Source organism: Homo sapiens, chromosome 16 (genome assembly GCF_000001405.40).
Source record: "Homo sapiens chromosome 16, GRCh38.p14 Primary Assembly".
Classification (NCBI taxonomy): Eukaryota; Metazoa; Chordata; class Mammalia; order Primates; family Hominidae; genus Homo; species Homo sapiens.
The window spans coordinates 2,844,099-2,869,441 of NC_000016.10; the positions used below are offsets into that span (position 1 = coordinate 2,844,099).

The 25,343-nt window shown below is 51.7% G+C and overlaps 1 protein-coding gene and 1 long non-coding RNA gene across 3 annotated transcripts, besides 7 other annotated features; both read right to left on the minus strand.

Annotated features, from left to right (window-relative positions):
- Positions 8,128 to 8,627: an enhancer, noted in NCBI's record as "H3K4me1 hESC enhancer chr16:2902227-2902726 (GRCh37/hg19 assembly coordinates)". NCBI's record gives its function as "activates a minimal SCP1, AML or CMV promoter by ChIP-STARR-seq in naive H9 embryonic stem cells {active_cell/tissue: H9 hESC(naive)}" and the evidence as "EXISTENCE:reporter gene assay evidence [ECO:0000049][PMID:30033119]".
- PRSS22 (serine protease 22) lies at positions 8,632 to 14,072 on the minus strand. Of its 2 annotated transcripts, NM_022119.4 has the most exons (6): positions 13,925 to 14,072; positions 12,724 to 12,750; positions 11,984 to 12,155; positions 11,476 to 11,753; positions 9,767 to 9,924; positions 8,632 to 9,231 (listed from the first exon to the last, which is right to left on the minus strand). In NM_022119.4, exons 1-6 carry the CDS (start codon positions 14,004 to 14,006, stop codon positions 8,995 to 8,997), a joined length of 954 nt encoding a protein of 317 aa, NP_071402.1. In that variant the 5' UTR covers positions 14,007 to 14,072; the 3' UTR covers positions 8,632 to 8,994. The 2 variants fall into 2 exon arrangements, with proteins under 2 accessions (NP_071402.1, XP_047290407.1); XM_047434451.1 differs by lacking the exons at positions 12,724 to 12,750; positions 13,925 to 14,072 and adding an exon at positions 12,637 to 12,723 and having other exon boundaries at positions 11,476 to 12,155.
- Positions 13,457 to 14,057: an enhancer, noted in NCBI's record as "H3K27ac-H3K4me1 hESC enhancer chr16:2907556-2908156 (GRCh37/hg19 assembly coordinates)". NCBI's record gives its function as "activates a minimal SCP1, AML or CMV promoter by ChIP-STARR-seq in primed H9 embryonic stem cells {active_cell/tissue: H9 hESC(primed)}" and the evidence as "EXISTENCE:reporter gene assay evidence [ECO:0000049][PMID:30033119]".
- Positions 14,058 to 14,658: an enhancer, noted in NCBI's record as "H3K4me1 hESC enhancer chr16:2908157-2908757 (GRCh37/hg19 assembly coordinates)". NCBI's record gives its function as "activates a minimal SCP1, AML or CMV promoter by ChIP-STARR-seq in primed H9 embryonic stem cells {active_cell/tissue: H9 hESC(primed)}" and the evidence as "EXISTENCE:reporter gene assay evidence [ECO:0000049][PMID:30033119]".
- Positions 14,659 to 15,258: an enhancer, noted in NCBI's record as "H3K4me1 hESC enhancer chr16:2908758-2909357 (GRCh37/hg19 assembly coordinates)". NCBI's record gives its function as "activates a minimal SCP1, AML or CMV promoter by ChIP-STARR-seq in primed H9 embryonic stem cells {active_cell/tissue: H9 hESC(primed)}" and the evidence as "EXISTENCE:reporter gene assay evidence [ECO:0000049][PMID:30033119]".
- LOC101929566 (uncharacterized) lies at positions 22,250 to 24,106 on the minus strand. The gene is made up of 3 exons (NR_188573.1): positions 23,994 to 24,106; positions 23,363 to 23,431; positions 22,250 to 22,758 (listed from the first exon to the last, which is right to left on the minus strand). It is a non-coding gene; the product is annotated as an uncharacterized LOC101929566 (long non-coding RNA).
- Positions 23,910 to 24,029: an enhancer, noted in NCBI's record as "active region_10284". NCBI's record gives its function as "activates an Ori minimal core promoter by ATAC-STARR-seq in GM12878 lymphoblastoid cells {active_cell/tissue: GM12878}" and the evidence as "EXISTENCE:reporter gene assay evidence [ECO:0000049][PMID:35858748]".
- Positions 24,130 to 24,309: an enhancer, noted in NCBI's record as "active region_10285". NCBI's record gives its function as "activates an Ori minimal core promoter by ATAC-STARR-seq in GM12878 lymphoblastoid cells {active_cell/tissue: GM12878}" and the evidence as "EXISTENCE:reporter gene assay evidence [ECO:0000049][PMID:35858748]".
- Positions 24,320 to 24,389: an enhancer, noted in NCBI's record as "active region_10286". NCBI's record gives its function as "activates an Ori minimal core promoter by ATAC-STARR-seq in GM12878 lymphoblastoid cells {active_cell/tissue: GM12878}" and the evidence as "EXISTENCE:reporter gene assay evidence [ECO:0000049][PMID:35858748]".

The window sequence follows — 25,343 nt, forward strand, 5'->3', positions numbered from 1 at the left end:
AGTTTATTTTGTAAGGGAAAATTGTGAAAGACTTTAAAGTGGACCCACAAAAATTACTGAGTAAATTCAATGGGGTTGTCTCTCATACTCTTCCAGGTTTTCTGATTCTGTGGGGGTCCCTCCCTTTGAGCTATTTTAAGACTGTAAATTGTAGATAACTGATAGGAATGCAGATTGTTCTTGTACATCTATTTAAGCAAATTAATTTCAACATTGCTGATGTGTTAAATATGTTCCTACTCTGAATTCTCCTTTGAACCAGTTGTAACATCTCACTGATTCTGTCATTAATTGAGTTAAATAAAAACACAGGCTGGGTGCAGTGGCTTATGTCTGTAATCCCAGAACTTTGGGAGGCTGAGAAGGTGGGATGATATTTTGAGGCCAGGAGTTCAAAACCACCCTGGTAAATATAGCAGACCCTGTCTCTCTAAAAGTAAAAAATTGACATGTATTAATTTTATATTTGTATGAGTCATGATTTTATCTTTTTAGCACATCATCCTTTAACAATTTATATTCTGATTCAAACGCACACATTGGAAAACATAAAATGAGCTGGGAATAGGAAATATGAATATTAATTATATTTGATGTTGTTAATGAATTGTTGTTACTTTTGTTTAGTTTGATAATGATATTGTAGGTCTTTTTCATGGCCCTATCTTTTAGAGATATATACAGAAAAAAATATTTAATTGGTCTCAAAAATCCAGAGTGAAAATAGGCAGTCTCTGTGTCGCCCAGTTATGGTGAAATATAAATTAATGCACCTGAAACTGGTAGGTGTTCATTTTGTACTGGAAGTGAGGTAAGTAAGGTCAACTTTATGATAATGCCAGCTTCCTGTAGGTTTACAAGCAGAGATGTGTGTCCCTGGACAGGGGTGTTTATTAATTGGAATCTCGTGAGCAGTCCCTTTTACTTCTGCTAACATTAGGCTAGTGAGCACCATTGTTGTGGGGAGATGTGATGGAATATTTTGTTGGTGGACGGTTTAAGCCTGAAATGACCTTCTCAAGACCCCTTGATATGCAAATCTGAGAGATGGCATGAGTAAGTTTGCATAGGGCAATGAGCAGGTCTAAAAGGAACTGTCATTAAGCCTGTATGGGGTCCTCAGTGAAATAGCCACAACTTCCTGGTATGCAGATTAAACCAAGTGTCTCTTGGCTACGTGTCATGATACACAAGCTAGGCGACAAACAATACCAACACAGATACATCTCTGCAGCACTTCCTATAGCCCATATCATTGCGGAACAGGAATTTGAAAGATGTAATTCGTATGTGGGAAATGTAAAGCAGCTGAAAGAATGGAATGCAAAATCCACCAACAGGAGAAAAACAAGAAATGGGAGTAAAACCGAATAGTAAATAAAGCATTAAGTAGCTGAATAAGCTACAGTTAGGAAACCAGTCACAAAAGTAGAGTTTAGTGAGGTTTGATATTATTAGAATTTCTCTTATTAAGTGGAATAGTCCCAACTGGGCCCATTAGCAAAAAGTAACCCCAAGGACTGCAAAGACAATTCTCCCTTGAGTGGTGTGAAAAGGAGGCCTAGTGTGCCCAGCTCCATTTTGCTCCTGTAAATCAAAAATAAAATACTAAGGCCCTCCAACCATCTGAATGGACCCCTCCTTTGGGCCAAGGGCATTCCAAAGTTAACCTGAAAAACTAGCTCAGGCCATGATGGGAAGAGGGGCTGGACATGCCTCATTATACCCTCCTTCCTTTTGCAATTCATAAAAGTGGACCAGCATTAACATCAATACAAACCTTAAGTCTGATAAGAAACATTTATAGTCTATTCTCTCTGAAACCTGCTACCTGGAGGCATCATCTGCATGATAAAACCTTGGTCTCCACACCCATTATCATAACCCAGAAATTCCTTTTTCATTTTGTTTTCTTTTGTTTGTTTGTTTGTTTGCTTTGTTTTGTTTTTTGAGATGGAGTTTCACTCTGTCACCCAGGCTGGAGTGCAGTGGCACACCCTCGGCTCACTGCAACCTCCACCTCCTGGGTTCAAGCAATTCTCCTGCCTCAGCCTCCCGAGTAGCTGGGACCACAGGCACCTGCCACCACGCCCAGCTAACTTTTGTATTTTTAGTAGAGATGGGGTTTCACCATGTTGCCCAGGCTGGTCTTGAACTGACCTCAGGTGATCCACCTGCCTCGGCCCCTCAAAGTGATGGGATTACAGGCGTGAGCCAACATGCCCAGCCCCAGACATTTCTTTCTATTGGTAATAACTCTTTCAGCCAATTGCCAATCAGAAAATGTTTAAATCTACCTATGACATGGAAGACCCCCCCCCTTCCAGTTGTCCTACCCTTCCAGGTTGAGCCAGTGTCAATCTTACATGTCTCAAGAGTTAGGAGGTCCCAGGCATAGGAGAAAGTCCCTTCAAGGGCTCAGGTATTAGGAGATGTATTATGTCTCCCTAAAATGTATAAAAGCAGGCTGTACCCCAACCACCCTGAGTACATGTCATCAGGACCTCCTGAGGTTGCATCACAGGTAAACCCTTAACCATGGCACAATAAACTTTCTAAATTGATTGAAATCTGTCTCAGATACTTTTGGGTTCACACCCCTAACCACCCTCCCACCAGGTGATATCTTTTTAGGTTAACTGCTTTTGCTTATCTCTGTGTGTAGGCTGAACTAACTGTGGGAGGAATTTAGTTTATAGTTTAAAGCAAGCATGATAATCCCTTCTCCAAACTTATCCCTGAGGAAATAAGGAGTGTGTACACACAAGTAAGAATGTTATGCTAAAGATTTATAGGAGCCTTGTGACCTGACCAAGGACAAAGAAGTTTCACAAGGCCCACCTCATACCGCTGCCCAGATGTCTGTGATTGTGAGTCACCTCTTATTTCAACCCTCCTCCTTCCCCTAACATAAAAGGAGCCTGAAATTCTATTAACTTAAGGTGGTTCTTTGGGACATTAGTCACCATCTTCTCGGTTTGCTGAGTTTCTGAAAGAAACTTGCCTTCCTTACCCCAACACCTTGTTTCTCAACTTATTGGCTATCATGCAGCAAGTGGTACAAGCTGTGGGCTCACATACGCAGGCTCAGCCCAAGCATCTGTTCATGTGCAGCTTGTGGCTGAGGCCAGAAGCCCTGATCACACAGGCACTGTGCTCTGTGAAATGATGGCTGGGCCTGTGACTATGACCTTGAAGACCTTTGACCTCAGATCCCATATGTAAGTCATCAGGGCAGGGGGCCAGTTGAGCAAAGGCTTCCCCGCCGAACAAGGGGAGGGTCTGTAGGACTAGGGAGACCGGTATCTATCGGCACCACCACTTGATGTTGAGCAAAGCAACATAACTGAATTGAAGGAATAATGGAATTTTCCAGTTTTCATAGGACTGGACCCTTTGACCCACGTAAACCTGTAGAATTCTTGGATACTCCATGGATTTAGTGGGATGGTCTCAAGAAAGAAAGGATCTCTGCTAAAAAGAGAATGTGGTGCTTGAGTAATTAGTTAGAAAAACAAGAGGGCCGGGCACCATGGCTTATGCCTGTAATCCCAGCACTTTGGGAGGCCGAGGTGGGCGGGTCACTTGAGGTCACGAGTTTGAGACCACCCTGGCCAACATGGCAAAACCCCATCTCTATTAAAAATATAAAAATTAGCCAGGTGTGGTGGCAGGTGCTTGTAATCCCAACTACTTGGGAGGCTGAGGCAGGAGAATCGCTTGAACCTGGGAGGCAGAGGTTGCAGTAGGCTGAGATGCCACCACTGCACTCCAGCCTGGGTAACAGAGTGAGTCTCTGCCTCAAGAAAAGAAAAAAAAAAAAGAGAGATATCCACACTGTCCACCAAACTGATGAAATAGATGATACTTATTACCATTAACTCATGAAACATTTACTAACGCCTACTATTTTGCCAGGCTGCAGTGAGCCATGATCACACCACTGGACTCCAGCCTGGGCCACAGACGAAGACCCTGTCTCTAACAACAACAATAAAAAGGTGGGGAAACCTGAAACTAACTGGGGGACCCTTTGAGGGTCCAAAATTCTTGTGGCTAGTTGGGAGCTCAAGGCCTTCATAATTTGGGTAATTTCTATGGGATTCAATTGTGCTGATGAAATCTGACATCCTGTGTCCATGAAAACAAAGAGTTTTCTGTAAAAAAATAAAAAGTTTTCTGCAAGTCTAAAACTATTATAAAATAGAAGGTTTGGAGTAGATGTACCAGTTAGGAATGCATTTAGCTGCAAGTAAAAGAAAATCCAACCAATCACGGTTTAAAGCAAACAAGAAGCCTGGGACTGGGTGCAGTGGCTCACGCCTATACTCCTAGCACTTTGGGAGGCTGAGGTGGGTGGATCACCTGAGGTCAGGAGTTCAAGACCAGCCTGGTCAACATGGGGAAACCCCATCTCTACTAAAAATACACACAAAAAAATTATTTTTGATGGGCATGGTGGCACATGCCTGTAATCCCAGCTACTCAGGAGGCTGAGGCAGGAGAATTGCTTGAACCCAGGAGGCAGAGGTTGCAGTGAGCCGAGATCTCACCATTGCACTCCAGCCTGGGCAACAAGAGCAAAACTCCACCTCAAAAAACAAAACAAAGGCCGGCGTGGTGGCTCACGCCTGCAATCCCAGCACTTTGGGAGGGCGAGGCAGGTGGATCACCTGAGATCAGGAGTTTAAGACCAGCCTGACCAATATGATGAAACCCCGTCTCTACTAAAAATACAAAAATTAGCCGGACATGGTGGCATGTGCCTGTAATCCCAGCTACTTGGGAGGCTGAGGCAGAAGAATCGCTTGAACCCAGGAGGTGGATGTTGTAGTGAGCTGAGATCACACCATTGCACTCCAGCCTGGGCAACAAGAATGAAACTCCATCTCAAAAACAAACAAACAAACAAAAAACAACAAGAAGCCTGGAAGGAGGCAGGCTGTGTAGTGCTAGGGCAGCGTCTTGACCTCGCCATCACACCCATAGCTGTTGAATCGTGGTTCACTGTCATTAGCGTGTCGTAAATGGCTGCTGAAGTCTGGGCATTGCGTGTGCATTCAGGACTAGAAGAAGGAGGAAGGAGAGAAAGGATGACGACAGCTGAATATGTCCCTTTAATCAGGGAAAAACAGTCTTCCTAAGAAACCACCCATCTCATGGGTCAACACTTAGTCCCATAGGCACACTTGACCATGCAGGAGACAATGAGCATTTAGCTCTTCCAGGTGGAGGAAGCAAAGAGAAGAGTTGAAATAGGGGCTGGCTCAGCAACCAAAGGAGCCTGCCACGGAGGGAAGTCATGTATTTAAGTATGTGCTTTTAAATGCTTGCTTCGGATGCAAAGTGGAGAAGAGTTAGGAGGTCCCGGGCATAGAAGGAAGTCCCCTCAAGGGCTCACGATTTGAGGAAGGAGTAGGCAGACCTCACAGCCTGCATCTAAGGCAGTTCCTGATGTAATGACATTTGTCGCGGAGGTCAGATGGTCCTCACCAGTGCTGTTAGGGAGACAGAGAGAGCTCTGCAAAGGGCTGTTCCATGGGAGAGGTGAAAAAGGAGGCAGAGCCGTCTGCCCAGGAGTCTAGGATGGGCGTGTAGCCGGCCATGTGGGACCAGTACAACTGGAACATGTGGGATTCCCTCGAGGAGACAGCCAGGCCTACGGGTCTCTGCAGCCCCTAGAGACAGGTGATGCTGGTGGGGCAGAGGTAGCGAGGTCCCCCCACCCAACATGGTTCACATGTGGGACTTGTTCCTGGTCCAGGCTCCAACCAGGGAGAAGAGGGCTGTTCTGTCAGCCATAGTCTCAGCATGTTCAGCAAAGTTTGGGGACATGGGCTGGCCCGACTCTGAGTAGGGTGCACACGCTATGAGCCAGCAGGACCCCCGAGGGAAGGGTCGCCGAGATGTTGGAGATGCACGTGCTGCCTGAGCCCCACAGAGGCTGGGGAGACTCTGTACCCACCTCCTGGAACCCCCCCCCGGTTTGGGGAGGGCATCGTTGGAAGTCCTGTTGCCCTGCAGAGGCAGGGCTGACTTCCCGCTCCACCCCTAGCCTGTCCTCAGGGCCCTAGGATCCTGTGGAGCCACTAGGGAAGGCACGAGAGGCTCCCTTAAGCTCAAGGCTGCCTGGAGGCGACCTCCCAACTCAGAGAAATCCCCACCCTCCCTGGTGAATCCTGCCACTTACAGGGTGGTTTCTCCGCCCCCCTCTAGGCGCTACATTCTCAGGGGCTTCTGTCAGGACCCTATTAGAGGGAGTAGATGCACATGCACCAGGGCCTGTGGAGGGATGGGGTAAAGGGACAGGCACCCACAAAACTGAGGGTCGGAGAACGAGAGTTGACAAGGAGGAGAAACAGGACAGGAGCAGGGAGAGGAGAGGAAAAAGAGGAAGACGAGGGGCAGGAGAGGGCTGGCCTGGCGGCACAGAGCAGTGGGGCAGAGCTGACAGGGCAGAAGGAGACACTGAAGGGAGAGACTCCAGGACAGGAGCAGGGGAGGGAGGTAGAGAAATGAGGGAGGGGGCACTCAGAGACAGAAGGGGGCAGTCGAGGAGCAGGGGCAGAGGGGGAAACCGAGTGAGGGAGAGAGGCCAGCAAAGGAGGGCTGGAGAGGGGAGGGGCTAAAGCCCACAGAGGAGATAAGAGAAGCCAGAGCATAGGGTGACATCAAGAGGGGACCAGGTCACAAAGGGAGAGGCCGTGGCGGTTGGCTCTGCTACCTGGCACACCTGAGTCACCCCAGCACTCCCTGGGCTGGTCACTCTGACAAACAGCAGGGCAGTTCTGGTTGGTTGGTTGGTTGTTTTAATAAAAACAACCCTAGGCCAGGTGCGGTGGCTCACGCCTGTAATCCCAGCACTTTGAGAGGCTGAGGCGGGTGGATCACGAGGTCAGGAGATTGAGACCATCCTGTCTAACACACTGAAAGCCCATCTCTACTAAAAATACAAAAAGAAATTAGCCGGGAGTGGTGGCGGGCACCTGTAGTCCCAGCTACTCGGGAGGCTGAAGCAGGAGAATCGCTTGAACCCAGGAGATGGAGGTTGCAGTGAGCCGAGATCGCGCCACTGCACTCCAGCCTGGGTGACAGAGCGAGACTCCATCTCAAAAAAAAAACAAAACAAAAACAAAAACAAAAAAAACAACCCCATAGCATTTACTGTGATCTGATAATCATATAAAAGTGATCAGGCTGGGCCAGTGACTCACACCTGTAAGCTCAGCACTTTGGGAGGCCAAGGCAGGTGGATTGCTTGAGGCCAGGAGTTGGAGACCAGCTTGGGCAACATGGTGAAACCCCGTCTGTAAAAAATTTAAAAATTAGCCAGGCATGGTGGCACACGTCTGCAGTCCAGCTACTCGGGAGGCTGAGGTGGGAGGATCACTTGAGACTGGGAGGTAGAGGCTGCAGTGAGCCAGGGTCACACCACTGCACTCCAGCCTGGGCAACAAAGCAAGCCCTACCTTGAAAAAAGTAAATAAATAAATAAGGCAATCAAAACAGTATGAACAAATATTTTAGAACTGCACTTACAACAAAGGACACCAAAAAAAAAAAAACCCAAAAAACTAAACCTGTATTGCCTTCTCCAAACTTGGCCATGCCCTTGATCATTTCTGGTTGGAGATATTTCATGGCAGAGTCATAGTGTCTCTTCTTCAGCACAATTGGACCTGGTTGTTTTCTTGACCTGGCTTTGGGTGAATCTCTTCTGTATCGGCTACTAAGAGGGTCATATTCTCACCAAAGCCAGCGGCACAGCCCTCTAACCACATACCTATTTGTTACAGGGATGCTGGGGAAGGCCTGCATCCAGGCAGGCTGGGATGAGGGCCCTGGGTCCAGGAGGCCAGAGCCGGCTGCAGATGAGTGGATGTGGGGAAACAGAGTATTAGCCTGCATCCCTAAGCAGGCAGGAAGCCAGACAGACCCCTCCTCTCGGCTTGGGATCAAACTGCCACCCCCCATGGGGACAGGTGGGGTGACTCAACCCCTGATGCCCGCAGAGCCAGAGGCCTGCCCTGCCACTGTCCGCTGCTTCTTCCAAACTGGGGAGTTTAGAGCTTTGGCAGTGAGTCGCTCGACAAATCGGCTCCTGGGGATGAGGACCCAACAGCCAGCCCACGGAGACGGGGCTCTGATGGGGCTCACCTGGGCGCCTCCCTCCACCACCACCCGCAGCTCTGCCATCCTGAGGCCCCTGAGGCCTGTGGTGGAGAGAGCAGAAGGGGGGGCTTGGCCTGGGGTAGAGAGGTAGCACCTCACTCTCATGGGGCTGGGTTTCTCCTCACCAGCCCTGTTTTGGAATCCAACGCACAGTTTCGGAGTCCCAACCCCTCTCCTCCCCTTCCTGAAGCACCAGAGCTGGGTCTTCCAGGCCTCTAGACTCTGCCCCTTCTCCATCGGCTGCCCTGCCCTGGTGGGAGAGGGATAAAAGGGAGGGTGGCCCAGGGCTGCAAAGGTCAGGGGTCAGAAGGCTGAACCCTAGGTGGAAGCAGGGGTCGGCGTCAGCCCCAGGTGGACAGGACCACGCAGTCTCTGGCTAGGCCAACATCCAACCCCCAACCTTAACCCCCTCTGGACCCTTGCTTTCCAGTGTCCCCAGGCATGGGAAAAAACAGACACTGGAGAATAAATAATTTATTGAAATTGGAGGAATAAATAAGATATGTGGGCAGGGTTACAAATACCTATAAAAATCATTAACATTTATATACACAAAAGCGCTGGGGCCCGGGGCGGGGCCGGAAGTCGTGGGGGCGGGGACATGAGGCCGTTGGGCGGGGCCTGATGCCTTGGAGGCGGGGCCTGAGGCCGTCGGGCGGGTCGGGGAGGGGGTTTCCTTTCCGCAGCAGCCGTCCGGGCCCCCAGAGGTAGAGGTAGATGAGCCTATTTACGGCGGGGGAAACCGCCCGAGGCCGCCGCAGATCCAGATCCAGATGTGGATCTGGCCGCCTTTCAGATCCGAGCCCCGCGTCCCGCTGCGCCCTAGGAGCGCGCGGCGGCCCCAGAGCCCTGGCTCGGTGCCCTGAGGGCCCCACCCCCCTGAGCGCGCCCGCGGAGCTGCACCCCTTGCACGATCTTCTCCACCCAGGAGCGGTGCGCAGAGAGGCTGATGTAGACCCCGGGCCTGTTGCGCTCGGCACAGCCCTCGCCCCAGCTGATGATGCCGGCCAGCAGCCAGGCGCCGTCCACCTGGCACATGAGGGGGCCCCCGGAGTCGCCCTGCAGAGAGGAGGCGAGGTTAGGAACCCCCGTGGCACAGGGGGTGGCAGAATCCAGGGCCCGTGCCCTGTCAGGGGGCAGATGAGCCCCTTCCCGGGAGCCCGTTTCTCCTTCCTGGAGGAGACAGGACCTGAGCTCCACCCAGGTGAGAAGTCCCCGGCGGCAGAGTAGGAGCTGCAGCCAGGCCTTAAGACGTCCAGGCGCGGGTGCTGCCGCTGCACCATCTGACCGTCTTCCAGACAGCCCCTGAGCTACAGCTGGCTCTGGGCACTGAGGCGTGGGAAGCCCCCTGAAGGAAATGAAAGCTCGCGGAGGGCGAGGTGGTGCAGCTGGGATGCCCAGTTTAATGTCTGAACAAATAAGTGAGTGGCTGAGCCAGGCTGAGGCTGGTTCTATGGGGACCCGGGACTGTCAGGCACAGCCAGTTCTGGGGAGGAGGCCAGGGAGAGGTTGTGGGGCTCAGTGGGGACAGGACTGACGCTGGCTCCTTCCCGAGGCCCTCCTGGCCAGGGGTGGGGGGCTCGAGGGAGCTCACCAGACAAGCATCCCGCTCCCCCTCCAAGTAGCCGGCACACAGCATGTCCTCAGTGATGGGTCCCTGTCCTGCTCCCCGCCAGTACAGATGGCTGCAGACTTCCGAGTCGATGATAGGAACCTTCAGCTTCTGCAGGGTCTGAGGGTGGGGCAAGGGAACTGGGAGGAAAGAGGACAGAATCAGGTTTGGGGGTCTCCCCTCCTCGTTGCCTCCTCAAAGGACTATTCCCCCCCAACACCATTCCTCTCAGCAGCGGTTCTCAAAGGCTAACAGATTAGCTCTACCAGTCTCTCCCAAGATGCCTTCAGAAAATTGAAATTCCAGGTCTCCACCTCTGGCCCTGCTGAATTAGAACATGAATGTGAAACCTAAGACCCTACCTCTTTAATAAATTTTCTTATATCCACAGATGGTTAGAGCCCTTCCTGTCTCAGATACTGCATTACTTCATCCAGCACTGGGACTGCTATAGAAGAAGTGTTCAATAAATGTCCACTCGATGTTGAAAATTACCAGGACCTGAGGGATCCCCACGCCTTGCCTGGAGCTGGTCTACAGACTGTGGTCTGCAGATTGTGGACTGAAAGTCCGCGATTCTAGCTCTTGAAGAAGCCCCTACAGAGATCATGGAGAGGTTGCAACCTCAGAGTTACTGGGATCCCCACACACCTGAGCTAGTGTCATTTCTCTTAATTATTCTGGAATCTGGTTAAATTTTCATCTGTCTTACACTTTGTTATTACTTAGTCTCTAGCTCTCTCTTTCAAACTCTTTCTTCCAGGTCTTCATTGTATCCTCATTTCTGCCTGTATGTTTCTTTTCCTTGGCCCAGTCTCTATCATCCATCTGCCTGTCGATCTGTCATCTACCTTTCTCTTGCTGCTTCCCTGCTTCTTGCTTTATGTAATCTAGTTTGAGTTTTGAGATGATGTTTTCCAAACCTCCAGTGGTGGTTTGAAAATTATATTTTACAATTAAGGTGGCTGCATTTTCTCCCGAGAATTTTGCCCGCAATTGTGGCATGCTACCACCAGGGGGTGCCTGTTCCCACTCTGGAATCAGGCCTCTTTATATTCACCCTGTATTCAGCTTAGTCCCACACACACCCCCTTTCAGCCATTCCTGTATTGATGAATTGAATAGCTTCACGGGTCTGGCTGTTGCCTCAAAACATAGCCAGATACTTTTGAAGTAGAAATGAGGCCAGGCACAGTGGCTCACACCTGTAATCCCGGCACTTTGGGAGGCTGAGGCTGGTGGATTGCTTGAGCCCAACAGTTCAAGACCAGCCCAGCCAACACAGAAAAACCCTGTCTCTACAAAAAATACAAAAATTAGCCAGGTGTGGTAGCACACACCTGTAGTTCCAGCTACCTGGGAGGCTGAGGTGGGAGGATCACTTGAGCCTGGGAGGCAAAGGCTGCAGTGAGTTAGGATCACACCACTGCACTCCAGCCTGGGTGACAGAGTAACACCCTGTCTCAAAAAAAAAAAAAAAAAAAAGAAGAAGAAGAAAGAAAAGAAAAGAGAAATGGCCTGAAATTGCCCACCAAGGTTTCTTCTGGATTGCAGCCCATCTTTCCTTCCACCTCTGTCATGCTGTGCCTCTGGCCTCCACCCTTTGTTGCTCATGGTGTCTGTGTCCCTGAGTGTCTGCCATCCTCTGTCCCCATCTGCCCCCAACCACCTTGGAGAGGAAGAAGCCGCACCTCCATCTTGGATGCTCCCCCAGCCTGAGATCCAGCAGTGGGTGTTTGGAGGGAGGTGGATAGAGGCATCAGGTAGGCAGATGGGCAGGACCCGCTCTGAGAACTGTATGGAGCGCTCGAGACGCACCAGGGCAATGTCTGCACAGGCACCTTCCTTCCAGGAATACACAGGGTGGGGCTCCACCCAGGCAACACCCACCTTCTGGGACCGAGAGCCAGGGTTCCCCAGCTGCCAGGCCCCCAGCAGCACAGAGAACAGGTATGGTTTGTTCAGGTTGCTGGAAGGAAAGGGAAGGGGAGGATCAGCCAGGCCTGGTCTGGGAGGAGGTACCTGGGGGAACAGCATGGGTGTGAAGGCCCCTGAAGGCAGGAGAGGCTTCTAGGTAGAATCGAGGGGCACCAAGATTGAACAGAGGCCCGGAAGCAGAGCCTGTAAAGGGAGCCCAGGGCCTGGGGCACAAAGCCCAGGGCCTTAGAAGATCAAGTGCCCCAGGCCGGCTGTACATACTCCTTGAAACAGTGGGCAGCAGTGATCACCCAGCGGCTGGTGAGCAGAGAACCTGCGCAGTGGTGGGTCCCATTCTTCTGGATGCTCACGATCCAGGGCCACTCGCTGTCAGTGCTGTCCTCGCCGCCCACAACCCGGTTCAGCTGCTGGGGCTTCCCACAGGCTGGGGGAACTGGAGGGTACGGTCAAGTTTTGTTATCTCCAACTTCCTACAACCCACCCCCGGAATCCCAATCCCTAGGCCTGCACCCCAAGCTTTGCCCACAGCCCAAGCTCCGTTCATGTCCCCAAGCTCTACCCACATCCCAAGTTTCACTTGCACTCCAAGCTCCACCCACACCCCAAGCTCCACCCACATCCTAAGCTCCACCCATACCCCAAGCTCCGCCCACCTCCCCGTCCCATCCCTCCCTCCATCCTCACTCTCTGCTGGTCCTCACCTGGCCCTGGCCTTTCCACTCACTCCTTGTCAGCTGCACCTGGTCTCTCCCTCCCCCTCTTTCCTTACCCTGCTTTCCACTCTGTTCACCTTCCTGGCTCTCTCTCTCCTCTGGCCCTGGCATCTCTCAAGCCTTTCTCCTTGCATCCGTGTCTCCTTCCTGCCTCCCTTCCCCTCTAGCTCTTTCCCCCTCTCACCCCAGCCCCTTTCTGACCTGTGCCCAGGGGACGGACACATAGACACTGCCTGCGCGTGGGCCTCCTCCCTTCTCCCTCCCGTCAGAGCTGCCAGCTCCACTCACCAGGTATCCTGGCCGCATTGAGGATGGCTGAGGGCAAGAGAAGGAAACGGTTAGGCCGGTGAGGGGCCCCAGGACACAGTGGTGAGGGGCCCTCAACGCCCAGTGAGGAAGGCCCCCAACACCCAGTAAGAAGGGATCCCAGTGCCCAGTGAGGTGGAGGTCCCAGCACCCAGTGAGGAGGGTCCCTCAGCGCCCAGTGAGGAGGGGTCCCAGCACCCCCTGAGGAGGGTCCCTCAGCGCCCAGTGAGGAGGGGTCCCAGTACCCAGTGAGGAGGGTCCCTCAGCGCCCAGCGAGAAGCCCCCAGCACCCAGTGAGAAGGGGTCCAGTGCCCAGTGGGAAGGGGTCCCAGCACCCAGTGAGGAGGGGTCCCCAGCGCCCAGTGAGGAGGGCTCCCCAGCGCCTAGTGAGGAGGGTTCCCCAGCGCCCAGTGAGGAGGGGTCCCCAGCGCCCAGTGAGGAGGGCTCCCCAGCGCCCAGTGAGGAGGGGTCCCCAGCGCCCAGTGACGAGGGGGTCCCAGCGCTCAGTGAGGAGGGGGTCCCAGCGCCCAGTGAGGAGGGGTCCCAGCGCCCAGTGAGCAGGCGTCCCAGCGCCCAGTGAGGAGGGGGTCCCCTTGAGTACCTGGTGGTGAGGAACCTCTAGCCCTCCAGTGCCCAGGGAGACTCTCAAGTCTCTCAACCCCAGGGCCCCTACCGGCGGGGCATTTCCTGGGGCCTGGCCAGGCCCTGGCTGCACAGCTGTGACCCTGCCCTCCCGCAGCTTCCCGTCCAGCCTGCCTTCCGGGGACCAGGACCGGCTCCTCGAGGGAGGCACAGACCTGAGCCCCTCGGCTCTGGACGCTGCTGCCGCTGGTGTGCCCTCCCCTGACCTCCTGCGGCAGGAACAACACAAAACGGTGCTTCCCCAGAGGCAAGCAGCGGAGGACGAGGAGATGGGAGAACACGGAGGCGAGAGGGAGCAGGCGATGGCGACGCCGACGGTAACTGGAGACCGAGGCGCGCTGCGTACTTGCTGCGTTTTCTGTTTCATCCTCACAGCCGTAGAAGAAACCGAGGCACAGAGCAGTTAAGGAGCAAGAGATAAACAGAGCAGAAGCGGAAAGGAGATGAGAGAGGCAAGGCCAGGAGGGAGAGAGGGAGGGAGGGAAGGAGGGAAGGAGGGTGGAGGTGAGAGGGAGGAGGGAGGAGCAGCCTCCGGACGTACCTGTCGACGCCAGCAGCAGCAGGGAGGTGAAGGTGCCGAGACAGCCCCCACCCAGGGCTGGGGGCGCTCCAGAAACCACCATGGCTGGTGGGGCGGGGGAGCAGGCAGCAGGCTCGAGAGACCCAGGGCGATGCGGGTCAGGGTGTGTAGGTTCCCTGCAGGTCGCCCCAGGTTTTATCCTGGGAGGCGGAATGCCGTCAGACCAGTCCCCAGGTGGCTCCCGCGGCCACCCCGGCTGTGGGTCCTGGGCAGAGGGCGGGGCTGCGGGGAGGAAGCCAGCCGCTACAGGGCTCTGGGGGGGCTCTAGCTGAGACCCCAGGATGTGGCCTCTGGAAGGGCAGGGGAGGGGGCTTGGGCCCAGAGGTCCCTGACATTAATTGTCCAGGGGCAGAGAAAGGTGCCAGGGCACTGAAAGGAAGGGGTTCCGGGCTGGGGAGGGCCTGGGTTTGGAGAGGCTGAAGTCTGGGGTACTGGGTGTTGGGGGTGGTCCTAGGGCCTTAGGGATCAAGGGGGTGCCCAAAGCTCAGTAACGGCTCCCACCTGCAGGGCCCCAGGCCCCTGTGACTCAGCCCAGAGACCTGGCGCAACCCGGGCTTGGGAATCCCGTTAACCCACTTCCCGAAAGCTGTGAATCAGGTGAGTGGCGACCTTGGTGGCCTCCTGGTGGCCGCCCTCCTGTCGTTCCTGGAGGCGGGGCTCTGCCCTGCGGTTCAGACACCTGACAACTCACCTCACCTGGACTCCTGGGAAGGGGAGGAGCCCATGGGCACCAGGGCTCGGCCAAGCAGGGGGGTTGAGAGAAGAGGGGCCCCGGGAAGGGCTGGGACTCCCAGGATTCAAAGAGCTGCTGGGCTGGGCTGTGGGGGGCCGGGTCCTGGGCTGGGAGTGGATTCTCGGTGCTTCCCCCCAGCGGCTGCCACAGTGGCAACCCGGGGCTGAATCCTGTGAGACCTTCCCTGACTCAGTGCCCTGCAGCGCCCCACACTTGGGACACTCCCACCCAAGCAGGGCAGGCTTCCTCCTCTACAAAGAGGCAGGAGCCTGCGCCCCTTCACTCATTCGATCAACAAGCCTCCAGCAGGGCCCTTGCTACCGCCGGGGGTGAATTAAAAACAACCATAGTGTCTGGGTGGGGTGGCTTATTCCTGTAATCCCAGCACTTTGGGAGGCCAAGACGGACAGATCATGAGGTCAGGAGTTCAATACCAGTCTGGCCAACATAGTAAAACCCCGTCTCTACTAAAAATACAAAAAAAAAAAAATTAGCCAGGCATGGTGGCAGGCGCCCTTAGTCCCATCTACTTGGGAGGCTGAGGCAGGAGAATCGCTTGAACCTGGGAGGCGGAGGTTGCAGTGAGCTGAGATCACGCCACTGCACTCCAGCCTGGGCGACAGAGCGAGACTCTGTTTCAAAAAAAAAAAAAAAAAACCATAGTAGTGAATATGTATGTAATAAATATATTTATACAAATATAAATATAGTATTTATATAATAGAGCAAACATTTAGGAGTGCCATGCATTGCCTCCTAATCCTCAAATGTCTTTATTATTCCCACTCTGCAGATAAGGAAACTGAGGCAGCTTAGGGCGGTTAAGTGACTTGCCCGAGATTGCTGGGTGAGTGGTGGAGCCGGACCTGCACCCCAACACTGGGGGTGGCTGCTGGGACTGCCCTCATGGAGGCTTCGGGAGCCTGGAGGAGGTGCCTCACCCTGCCTGGGGTGAGCCCTAACTTGCTCCCTGCAGAGTCAGGGTGGCGTGGGTCAGGGGCTTAGCAGACCACCATGGCTGCTTCAGGGACTCCATGGCTCTGAGCAGGACGGGTTTTGCCCTGGGGGTGGACTCTGTGCTGCCCACCTCCTCAGTCTGTTAAGGGTTAGGGTGGCAGCAGGACGACTGGCACTTTCTCGTGGCAGAGAGGCCATGCCCTGCTCCACCGAGAGACAAGTCAAACAGCAGGGCCCTGGGGAGCCCCAGAGGATGCATTATTCTCTGTCCCAGGACTCAGAGGGGGTTTGGGGGAACTGCAGGAAAAGGCCACGCAGAGTGGCCAAGGAGGGGCAGTGTCTCTGAGCAGCAGCAGCACTGCAGCAGAAATTTCTGCTGGGCTCCCCCAACCCTACTCACTGTCCCCCGCTCAGCTCTGCACCCAGGGCGTCCAGGGCCCTCCTGCGCCCCACCCCACTGCCTTCTGGAATAAGGTGGGTGGCCTCTCCAGCTCACCCAGCAAACATATATTGAGTACCTGCTGTATGTCAGGCCCTGGTGGGCACCAGGACACATGTGATGAATAAGACGCAGGTCCTGTGCTCAGGAAGCACATGACCTCCTAGGGGTGGGAGGCAGATGACGGATGACAGGGAGGTGTCCGGGAGGTGGGCACAGAACCATGGGACCAGGCGGTGGCTTGGACCCTAGAGGGCCACTGTGAAGCTGGGTGCTGGGGAAACAGTGTGGGCAGGGGGGCTCCCTGTGGACCCCCAGGATCATATTCAGTGCCTGCTGCACCCTGGGGCTCAGCGAGTGTTTGTTGAATGTATAAATGAGTGTGGAAGAAGCAAGTCTGCAAGTGGCTGGGGACCGACCACTCCAGCCTCCCTCTCTGCCTCCCGCCCAGGTTTCCTCTCCATTCCAGCTTTTCTGCCTTTCTGAAGAGCCAGCTCACTGCCCTGGATACCCAAGGGTAGCCATGGGCCCTGCCCAAGATGCCGCTATCCCTGAGACAGGGTGGCCAGGAAGAGAGCCCCGAGGAGAAGGACCTGGTAGGAGCAGGGGGAAGCCCTGAGGAGCTGGGTGAAGATTTCCTGGCACAAGTCCTGGGGAAGGGCCCCAGACAGCAGTTCCTCAATTCCCAGGGTATAGAGGGTGGAGTCTCTGAAAGGCCACGGGGTGGAGACCCTGGCATGATTCAACATTCACTCAACAAAATATTTATTGAGCGCCTGCCAATGCTAGACCCACATGCTGGCCAGCATCCCTGCCTGTGCAAGCTCTGGATGAGCTGTGTGCCCCTGCCACCCACACCCCCACTCCCTGCCAGCCTGGCCTCAGGGCCTCTGATCCATGTGCACTGGAGTGGTGATGACTGACAGGGCCACTGGGGCATTTCCATGTTAACAGCAGCTGCCACTGGCAAAAGAAGTGACTCGCCAATGGTGGCATCTCAGATGTGGGCCCAGGAGTCTGGGGAGCTACTTTGAACAGGGCTATCCATTCATTGTCCCACCAAAGGCTATGGAGCCCACCCACCATGTGCTGGAGTAGTCAAGGGAAATAAGACACTCTCCTTGTCCTTGTTAACTCAATCAACAAGCATTTGCAGAGCACCGCCTGTATGCCGGCGCTGTCCGAAGTGCTGAAGATACAGCAATGAGCAAACCAAAAGCCATGGACATCGGATGAAACAGAGAATTGTAAACAATAAGTACATCATTTAGCTCTATGGAAAACAGGATAGAGATTTCTCAAAGAACTAAAACTAGAACTACCATTCAACCAGCAATCCCACCACTGGGCATCCACCCAAAGGAAAAGAAGTCATTTAATCAAAGAGACACCTGCACTCGTGTGTTCATCGCAGCAACACTGTTCACAACAGCAAAGCCATGAAATCAACCTAAGTGTCCATCAACAGATGATGGATAAAGAAAATGTGGTGAATATATACACAGTGGGATACTACGAAGCCATAAAAAAGAACACAAAACCATGTCTTTTGCAGCAATGTGGATGGAACTGGAGGCCATTATCTTAAGCGGAACAAGTCAAACACAGAAAGACAAAGATTGCATGTTCTTATTTATTTATTTACTGAGATGGAGTCTCACTGTGTCACCAGGCTGGAGTGCAGCGGTGCAATCTTGGCTCACTGCAGCCTCCACCTCCCGAGTTCAAGCAATTCTCCTGCCTCAGCCTCCCAAGCAATTCTCCTGCCTCAGCCTCCCACATAGCTGGAACTACAGGCACGTGCCACCACACCCAGCTAATTTTTGTATTTTTAGTAGAGGCAGGGTTTCAGCATGTTTGTCAGGATGGTCTCAATCTTTTTACCTCATGATCTGCCAGACTTGGCCTCCCAAAAGGCTGGGATTACAGGCATGAGCCAGTGTGCCCAGCCTTTTTTTTTTTTTTTTTTTTTTTTTGAGGCAGAGTCTTGCTCTGTTGCCCAGGCTGGAGTGCAGTGGCGCAATCTGGGCTCACTGCAACCTCTGCCTCCCGGGTTCAAGTGATTCTCCTGCCTCTGCCTCCTGAGTAGCTGCAATTACATGTGCACACCACCATGCCCAGCTATTTTTTATATTTTTAGTAGAGACGGGGTTTCACCATATTGGTCAGGCTCGTCTCGAACTCCTGACCTCAGGTGATCTACCTGCCTTAGCCTCTTAAGCATGTTCTCATGTATAAGTGGGAGCAAAGCAGCCGGACGCAGTGGCTCACGCCTGTAATCCCAGCACTTTGGGAGGCCAAGGCGGGCAGATCACGAGGTCAGGAGGAGCTAGAGACCATCCTGGCTAACATGGTGAAACCCTGTCTCTACTAAAAATACAAAAAATTAGCCGGGTGTGGTGGCGGGCGCCTGTAGTCCCAGCTACTTTGGAGGCTGAGGCAAAAGAATGGCGTGAACCTGGTAGGCGGAGCTTGCAGTGAGCTGAGATCGTGCCACTGCACTCCAGCCTGGGCGACAGAGCGAGACTCCATCTCAAAAAAAATAAAATAAAATAAGTGGGAGCAAAGCAATGTGCACCTGTGGCCACAGAGTGGAATAACAGACATTGGAGACTGGGAGGGTGGGAGGGAGGGAGGGGGCAAAGGAGAAGAAATTTGCTATTGGATCCAGTGTTCACGATTTGGGTGATAGGCACTAAAAGCCCAGACTTCACCACCACACAGTATATCCAGGTAACAAAAATGTGCTTGTACCCTCTAATTTTTTTGGTTGTTTGTTTGTTTTTGAGACCGAGTCCCGCTGTGTTGCCCAGGCTGGAGTGCAGTGGCACGATCTCGGCTCACTGCAAGCTCCGCCTCCCAGGTTCACCCCATTCTCCTGCCTCAGTCTCCCGAGTAGCTGGGACTACAGGCGCCCACCACCATGCCCGGCTAATTTTTTGTATTTTTAGTGGAGATGGGGTTTCACCGTGTTAGCCAGGATGGTCTCGATCTCCTGACCTCGTGATCCTCCCACCTCGGCCTCCCAAAGTGCTGGGATTACAGGCGTGAGCCACCGCGCCTGCCCTTTTTTTTTTTTTTCTGAGACAATCTCACTCTGTCACCCAGGCTGGGGTGCAGCGGCGTGATCTCAGTTCATTGCAACCTCGACCTCCTGGGTTCAAGCAATTCTTGGGCTTTCGCCTCTCAAGTAGCTGAGACTACAGTCATGTGCCACCATGCCTAGCTAATTTTTGTATTTTTAGTACAGACGGGGTTTCACCATGTTGGCCAGGCTGGTCTCAAACTCCTGACCTCAGGTGATCCACTGGCCTCAGCCTCCCAAAGTGCTGGGATTACAGGCGTGAGCCACCGCGCCTGGCCGAACATTACACTTTTAACAGCTTAGTATTATATCTTCAGTGCCTGTCAGTTAGTGGCCTCCCAATATTGTTGAATCAATTGATGAATTAAGTGAAACACCATTTATAAATTTTTACTTAATAAAACAAGCTACAAATTATATTCTTTTTTTTGGATATTATTGGAATCATACTGTGACATTATCTTAATCTGCTTTTAAAATTCAATATGGCATCTTCTCATATCAGTAAACCATTCATAACATGATTATTAATGTCTATATAATATTCCACTATAGAATTGTTACGGTTTGGATGTGTCCCCAAAGTTCATGTGTTGGAAACTTAATCCCCAAAGCAAGAATGTTGAGAGGCGGGACCTTTCCGAGGTGATTAGGTCATAAAGCTTATGCCCTCCTGTATGGATTAATGCCATTATTTTGGGAGTGGGTTGGTTATCATGGGGTGGGTTCCTGATAAAATGTATGAGTTCCACCCCCTTACTCTCTTATGTATATGCTCTCTTGCCACGTGATGCCTCCCGCCATGTTATGAGGCAGCAAGAAGGCCCTCATCAGATGCAGCCCCTCAATCTTGGACTTCCCAGTCTCCAGAACCATGTGCCAATGAATTTCTGTTTATTATAAATTACCCAGTCTCAGGTATTCTGTACCTGAGCAACACAAAACAGACTAAGACAACAATATACCATAATTTACTCAATCCCATGCCCTCTGATACTGGACATTCATTCTTTTTTCTGTTGTATGTAATGTGTCAGTAAGTAACCTTGTTCATCAATCTTTGAAAGAATCTCTGGTTATTTCCTCAAGCTACATTCCTAGAAGGGAAATTGCTAGGATAAAGGTTTTAAATGTATTTACAGTTTTTGATGACATATATTATCAAACTACACTCTTGAAAAGTTATGTAGTGCCTAGGCATAATAGCTCACGCCCATAATCTCAACACTTTGGGAAGCCAAGACAGGAGGATCGCTTGAGGCCAGGAGTTTAAGACCAGCCTGGGCAACATAGCAAGACCCTGTCTCTACATAAAAATTTTTAAAAATCAGCTTGGTGTAGTGGTGCACACCTGTAGTTCCAGCCACTTGGGAGATTGAGGCAAGAGGATTGCTTGAGCCCAGGAGTCCACGGTTGCAGTGAGCTATGATCGTGCCACTGCACTCCAGCCTGGGCCACAGAGTGAGACCCCGTCTAAAAAAACTAAATAAAAGAGATAAAACTTGTATGTGATTTGTTTTTCTTCCCTATCTTTACCATAGAAAAATAGGATCCAAAAATTTCCGCAAATATCCTGGTAGGACTTGGAAACTCAGTCTTTCTTGCCCTTGAAGAAAAGAGAACTAGTTTTTTGGTTTTTAATGATTTGGTGTCAAGGTCTGCTGTAAAAGAGGAGAACAGTGGCTTGAGGACAGAGAAGACAGGAAATACCTCACCTAGACACCTAGACACAGGAAGGAGGAAGGATTTTCCAAAGCACAAAAGAGGGGAGAAACTGAAAACTTAGGAAAGTTCTCTGAGGGGGGCATTGCTCAAACATCCAGGAGCCCCAGGGAGCCAAGGCCCCACTGGTTGACCTCAGGCTTGAGGTTCAAGGGAGTGCCCAGGGGTGCTTCACTGATCAGAATCTGGCCCCCATCCATGCCTGCCCTGCCCAGGGCTGTACTACCAACGTCCACTTGCTCCCACACCTGGTACTCCCATGCTCCCCTAAGCAAGGCAGATTTTCAGCTCTGGTAGAGCCAAACTGAATGTCAACTGTAGGTTGATAAACAGCCATTTCCCCAAGTCCCCAGGTGCCCCTTACTGCCCAGCTGCTCCAGGCCCTCCACTATCCTCAAAATCTAACACTTAAAGAGTGAATGCCTGTTTTCACACAGGGCCTCCAGCATCTCCAGCAAGACTGTTCTGATTGTCTCATGCCTGTAAAGAGCTGGTTGTTAAATATGTGGGTCAGTGCAGAAACTGACCTGAATAAGTCCCAGGCTCCCTGGGCTGGGATCCTCATTTCTCTTGCTTTCTCCTAACCTGATTAACTGTGAGCCTTTACAGACTTGCTATCTATAGGTCCATGGTCTCTCTCAGGGTACATTGTACCAGATCCACAGTTTGCAGGGCTGAAGCCACCCCGGGATCATCTGGGCCTCAGTTCCAAAAACTGTTTGCTACTATACTCAACACACCACCTCGCTTCACCCTTCTTATTCTGCCCCAAGCATTGTCTTCCCCACTGTACACATGAGGAAATTGGCTCAGAGAGGGAGGAGTTGATCCCAATTCACATGGCTAGGAAGTAGAAAGGCCAGGACTCAAGCAGAAAGGAAGTAGAAAGGCCAGTCACAGGGCCATTTTAAGACCTTGATAAGCCTGGAGCATTCTCAGCTTTGAAGCCCCCATCACATGGCTTCGAACACATGAGCATGCACCTCCCTCTGCAGAATAAATGCAATGGACCCACAACCGTGTGCTCTGAGTTGCACTGGACCAGTGGACATAATTATGTCTAGGAGACATTTAACAAACAACTATGTAATTCAACTTGGCAACTCCATTTCCTATTTCAGAGTAAGGATAATTTTCCAGGACTCAGACATTTTTGTAAGCCCTACATTGCTGTAATACCAAAAGCCTACAATACGTTGAAACTTTGGTCTTCTCAAAGCATGCCCAGCTCCTCCCCTTCTCTCTGCAGTATAATCCCCATTTTACACACAAGGAAACCATAACAGGGTGCCTCTGGATACAAATAGCAGAGTACTCCGACTCACAATTGCTGAAGCAAAATAACATGACTCTATTATTGTGACTTTATTATTCCAGGAAATGCTTGCCCAGAAACACAAAAGTTGCAAATAACCTTACTCCTTGAGTTCAGGAAAATCCATTAATAAAACCACACAGCTCTTCAACAGGGAGCATCAAAGAAAGCTCCAAGAGTCTTTGAAGCCCTCACTTCACTGTGACCACCAATACAAAACTGTGACCAACAATCCTAAACTATTATAACATGATCCTTACCCAGCCCTGATTAAGTCCGACATCAAAGGACCTGCCTTAAACCAAACCCCAAAACCTCAGTATCTCAACTTTGCCCTCCCGACCTCCACTCTACAATGACTCTTTCAAGGTGGTGCTTCCCCTTAGCATAAGCAACAACCCAGTTTTGTCTTATCAGCTGCTTGCTTTGATGCTATTTCCAGGAGCCAGCATTTGAAGAGGGAACCAGGACCAACACGGTCGGCTGTGTCCAATGAGGTAGGATGAAGCACTGGAGTAAATTTCCCTGGAGAGGTGCGCACTGCCTGCCAACAAGAAAGGGGAAAGCAGTGAGCTGAGATCGCCCCACTGCACTCCAGCCTGGGCGTCAGAGTGAGACTCTCAAAAAATAATAATAATAAAACATTAAAAAGGCGGGGGAGGGGGGGCGGGGGGGGTACCGGAGAAGCAGGCGTCAGTGTTCTACTACAGTCCCACAGTAGTAGAACGTAGTCATGGTGTCTTTGCTATTCGTGCTGAATAGCTGGTGTTTTCCAAAGTAAGTATAGAATTAACTATACTTATTATTATTATTATTATTTTTCTGAGACAGTGTCTCGCTCTGTCGCCCAGGTTGGAGTGCAGTGGCGCGATCTCCGCTCACTGCAGGCTCCGCCTCCCAGGTTCACGCCATTCTCCTGCCTCAGCCTCCTGAGTAGCTGGGACTACAGCGCCCGCCACCACGCCCGGCTAATTTTTTGTATTTTTAGTAAAGACGGGGTTTCACTGTGTTAGCCAGGATGGTCTCGATCTCCTGACCTCATGATCCACCCACCTTGGCCTCCCAAAGTGCTGGGATTACAGGCGTGAGCCACCGCGCCCGGCCAACTAACTTATTTTCAAAATAAGTATAGAATTAACCAACCATACCTCCTTAATTGATGGTTCTCTTAATCTTGATTCCAAGGGTCTTAACTATCTGGATGTACTCATTGTATGCTAAACAGACACCAAAAGGATTGACTAATCTCATTTTTATGTACAGAGAATCAATTCCCGAAAAATGCTGCAGGTTTTGCATTTGTTTTAAAATTTTAAAGGTCATAATATTTATTAATACATATTTATACCCTTAGAATTCCCAATCTGGCAGCAAATAGAGTCCCATTCTATTATGCCATTGAAAGTAATGATAAAAACCGCAGTTACTTTTGCACCAACCTAATAAAACCATGATTAAAAAAATAATAAACATTTAAAAAGCGGTGGGGGGAGTGGGGCGCGGGGGCGAGCCGGAGAAGCAGGCGTCAGTGTTTGCTAAAGAAACCAAGGCCCAGAAGAGAGTTAAATGTTTTGCCCAAGGTCAGGCAAAGAGTTGGCAGGAGGTCTAGAGGAGAATTCAGGCTTCCTCATCTAAACTCCAAGCTTTTCCGCCCAAGCAGGGCATGCCCTGGGGCCAACCCCTCCAGGAAGCCTGGGTAGTGTCCTTCCCTGCATTTCCCCAGTGGCTGCTGCCTCAAGGTGACTCAGAAGGAAGCTGTTGTCTCTAGTTCCTCCTCACCAATCCAGCTGGTCTTAGGATCGGGAAAAAGATAAGCTAATTGTCTGGTGGTTAATTAACTCCAGCCAACTAATGATCTGAACTTGCCGCGGATACCCAGCCAGCGGAAGTGCGGTTAACTGCCCGAGGGATGCCCCGAACACCGGCCGAGCCAACTTCCGGCCGCAGAGGCTGCCGGGCAGGGGTTATGGCGGCCGCCAGAGTGAGCCAGCTTGGTGTCCGGGGACACTTGGGGCACTGCGGATGGACAGCGCTGGTTTTCAATACCAGGGACCTAAGTCCGGGTGGGGAGCGGCCCCTCAGCGCCCCAGACCCCTGCCACGGTGCCGGTGACGGGCCACGCCCAAAATATCAGGAAAAGCGTCTCAGTCCTCCTTGTGGGCGGAGAAGAGACCCAGCGGCCGAGCCCGGGGGCCTCAGATCCCCAGCTGCTCATTGGCCTGTGTCTGTCGCCCCCCGGTGGCCGCGTGAGGGACTGGAGCCCGGCTTTGCTCCTCCCGTTGGCCTCGTTTCTCTTCCTGGCTTTGCGTGTCCCGACCACTAAAAGCCCCAAACATGACGAAGTAAAATGGGCACCGTCAAAAACCGCATTTGAAGACAGTGCGCATGAGCGCATGGTTAAGTTTTCAGACGTTTTGCAAGCTGGATGTTAAATACATTTTTTGACGTCATTGTTAAAAAATAAATTTTATGAGCCTACAATTAAATACATTATATTAAAAACAAAGGTAGACGCCTGCGCGGTGGCTCACGCCTGCAATCCCAGCACTTTGGGAGGCCGAGGCGGGTGGATCACCTGAGGTCAGGAGTTCAAGACCAACCTGGGCAACATGGTGAAACCCCATCTCCACTAAAAGTACAAAAATTAGCTGGGCGTGGTGGCGCGCACCTGTAATCCCAGCTACTTGGGAGGCTGAGGCAGGAGAATCGCTTGAACCTGGAGGTGGAGGTTGCAGTGATCTGAGATCATGCCACTGCACTCCAGCCTGGGAGACAGAACGACTTACTGTCCAAAAAATAATAAATAAACAAATGAAGAAAGAAAACACTCAAAATGTATCACTGGTTAATTGTTTTGCTGTTTTACTACTATCTGTGTTCTTGGAGTGATTTACATCCATCTTATCTGTATGGTGGGAATACTATATAATAGTGTGCTATTGCACGTTTCTTTCCAACTCTATGTTCAATGACATCATATTGGAGACTTGAAATCGGCTATGGTGGGAATATTTACACCATAGAAATTGGTAAACTGTAGAAATCAGGGCTTTTTTTTTTTCTTCCCAGAAAGTCAGTTGTTAAACATTCAGCAGCATACCACTGGAGTCAGACAATAGCCAACGTGGA

Coding starts and splice junctions, on each gene's coding strand:
- PRSS22 (NM_022119.4), bottom strand. CDS start 14,006: ATGGTGGTTTCTGGAGCGCCCCCAGCCCTGGGTGGGGGCTGTCTCGGC. Junction 11,754..11,983: donor GCTGCCCACTGTTTCAAGGA/GTATGTACAGCC, acceptor CTTTCCTTCCAG/CAACCTGAACAAACCATACC. Junction 9,232..9,766: donor GGGAGCGGGATGCTTGTCTG/GTGAGCTCCCTC, acceptor TCCTCTCTGCAG/GGCGACTCCGGGGGCCCCCT.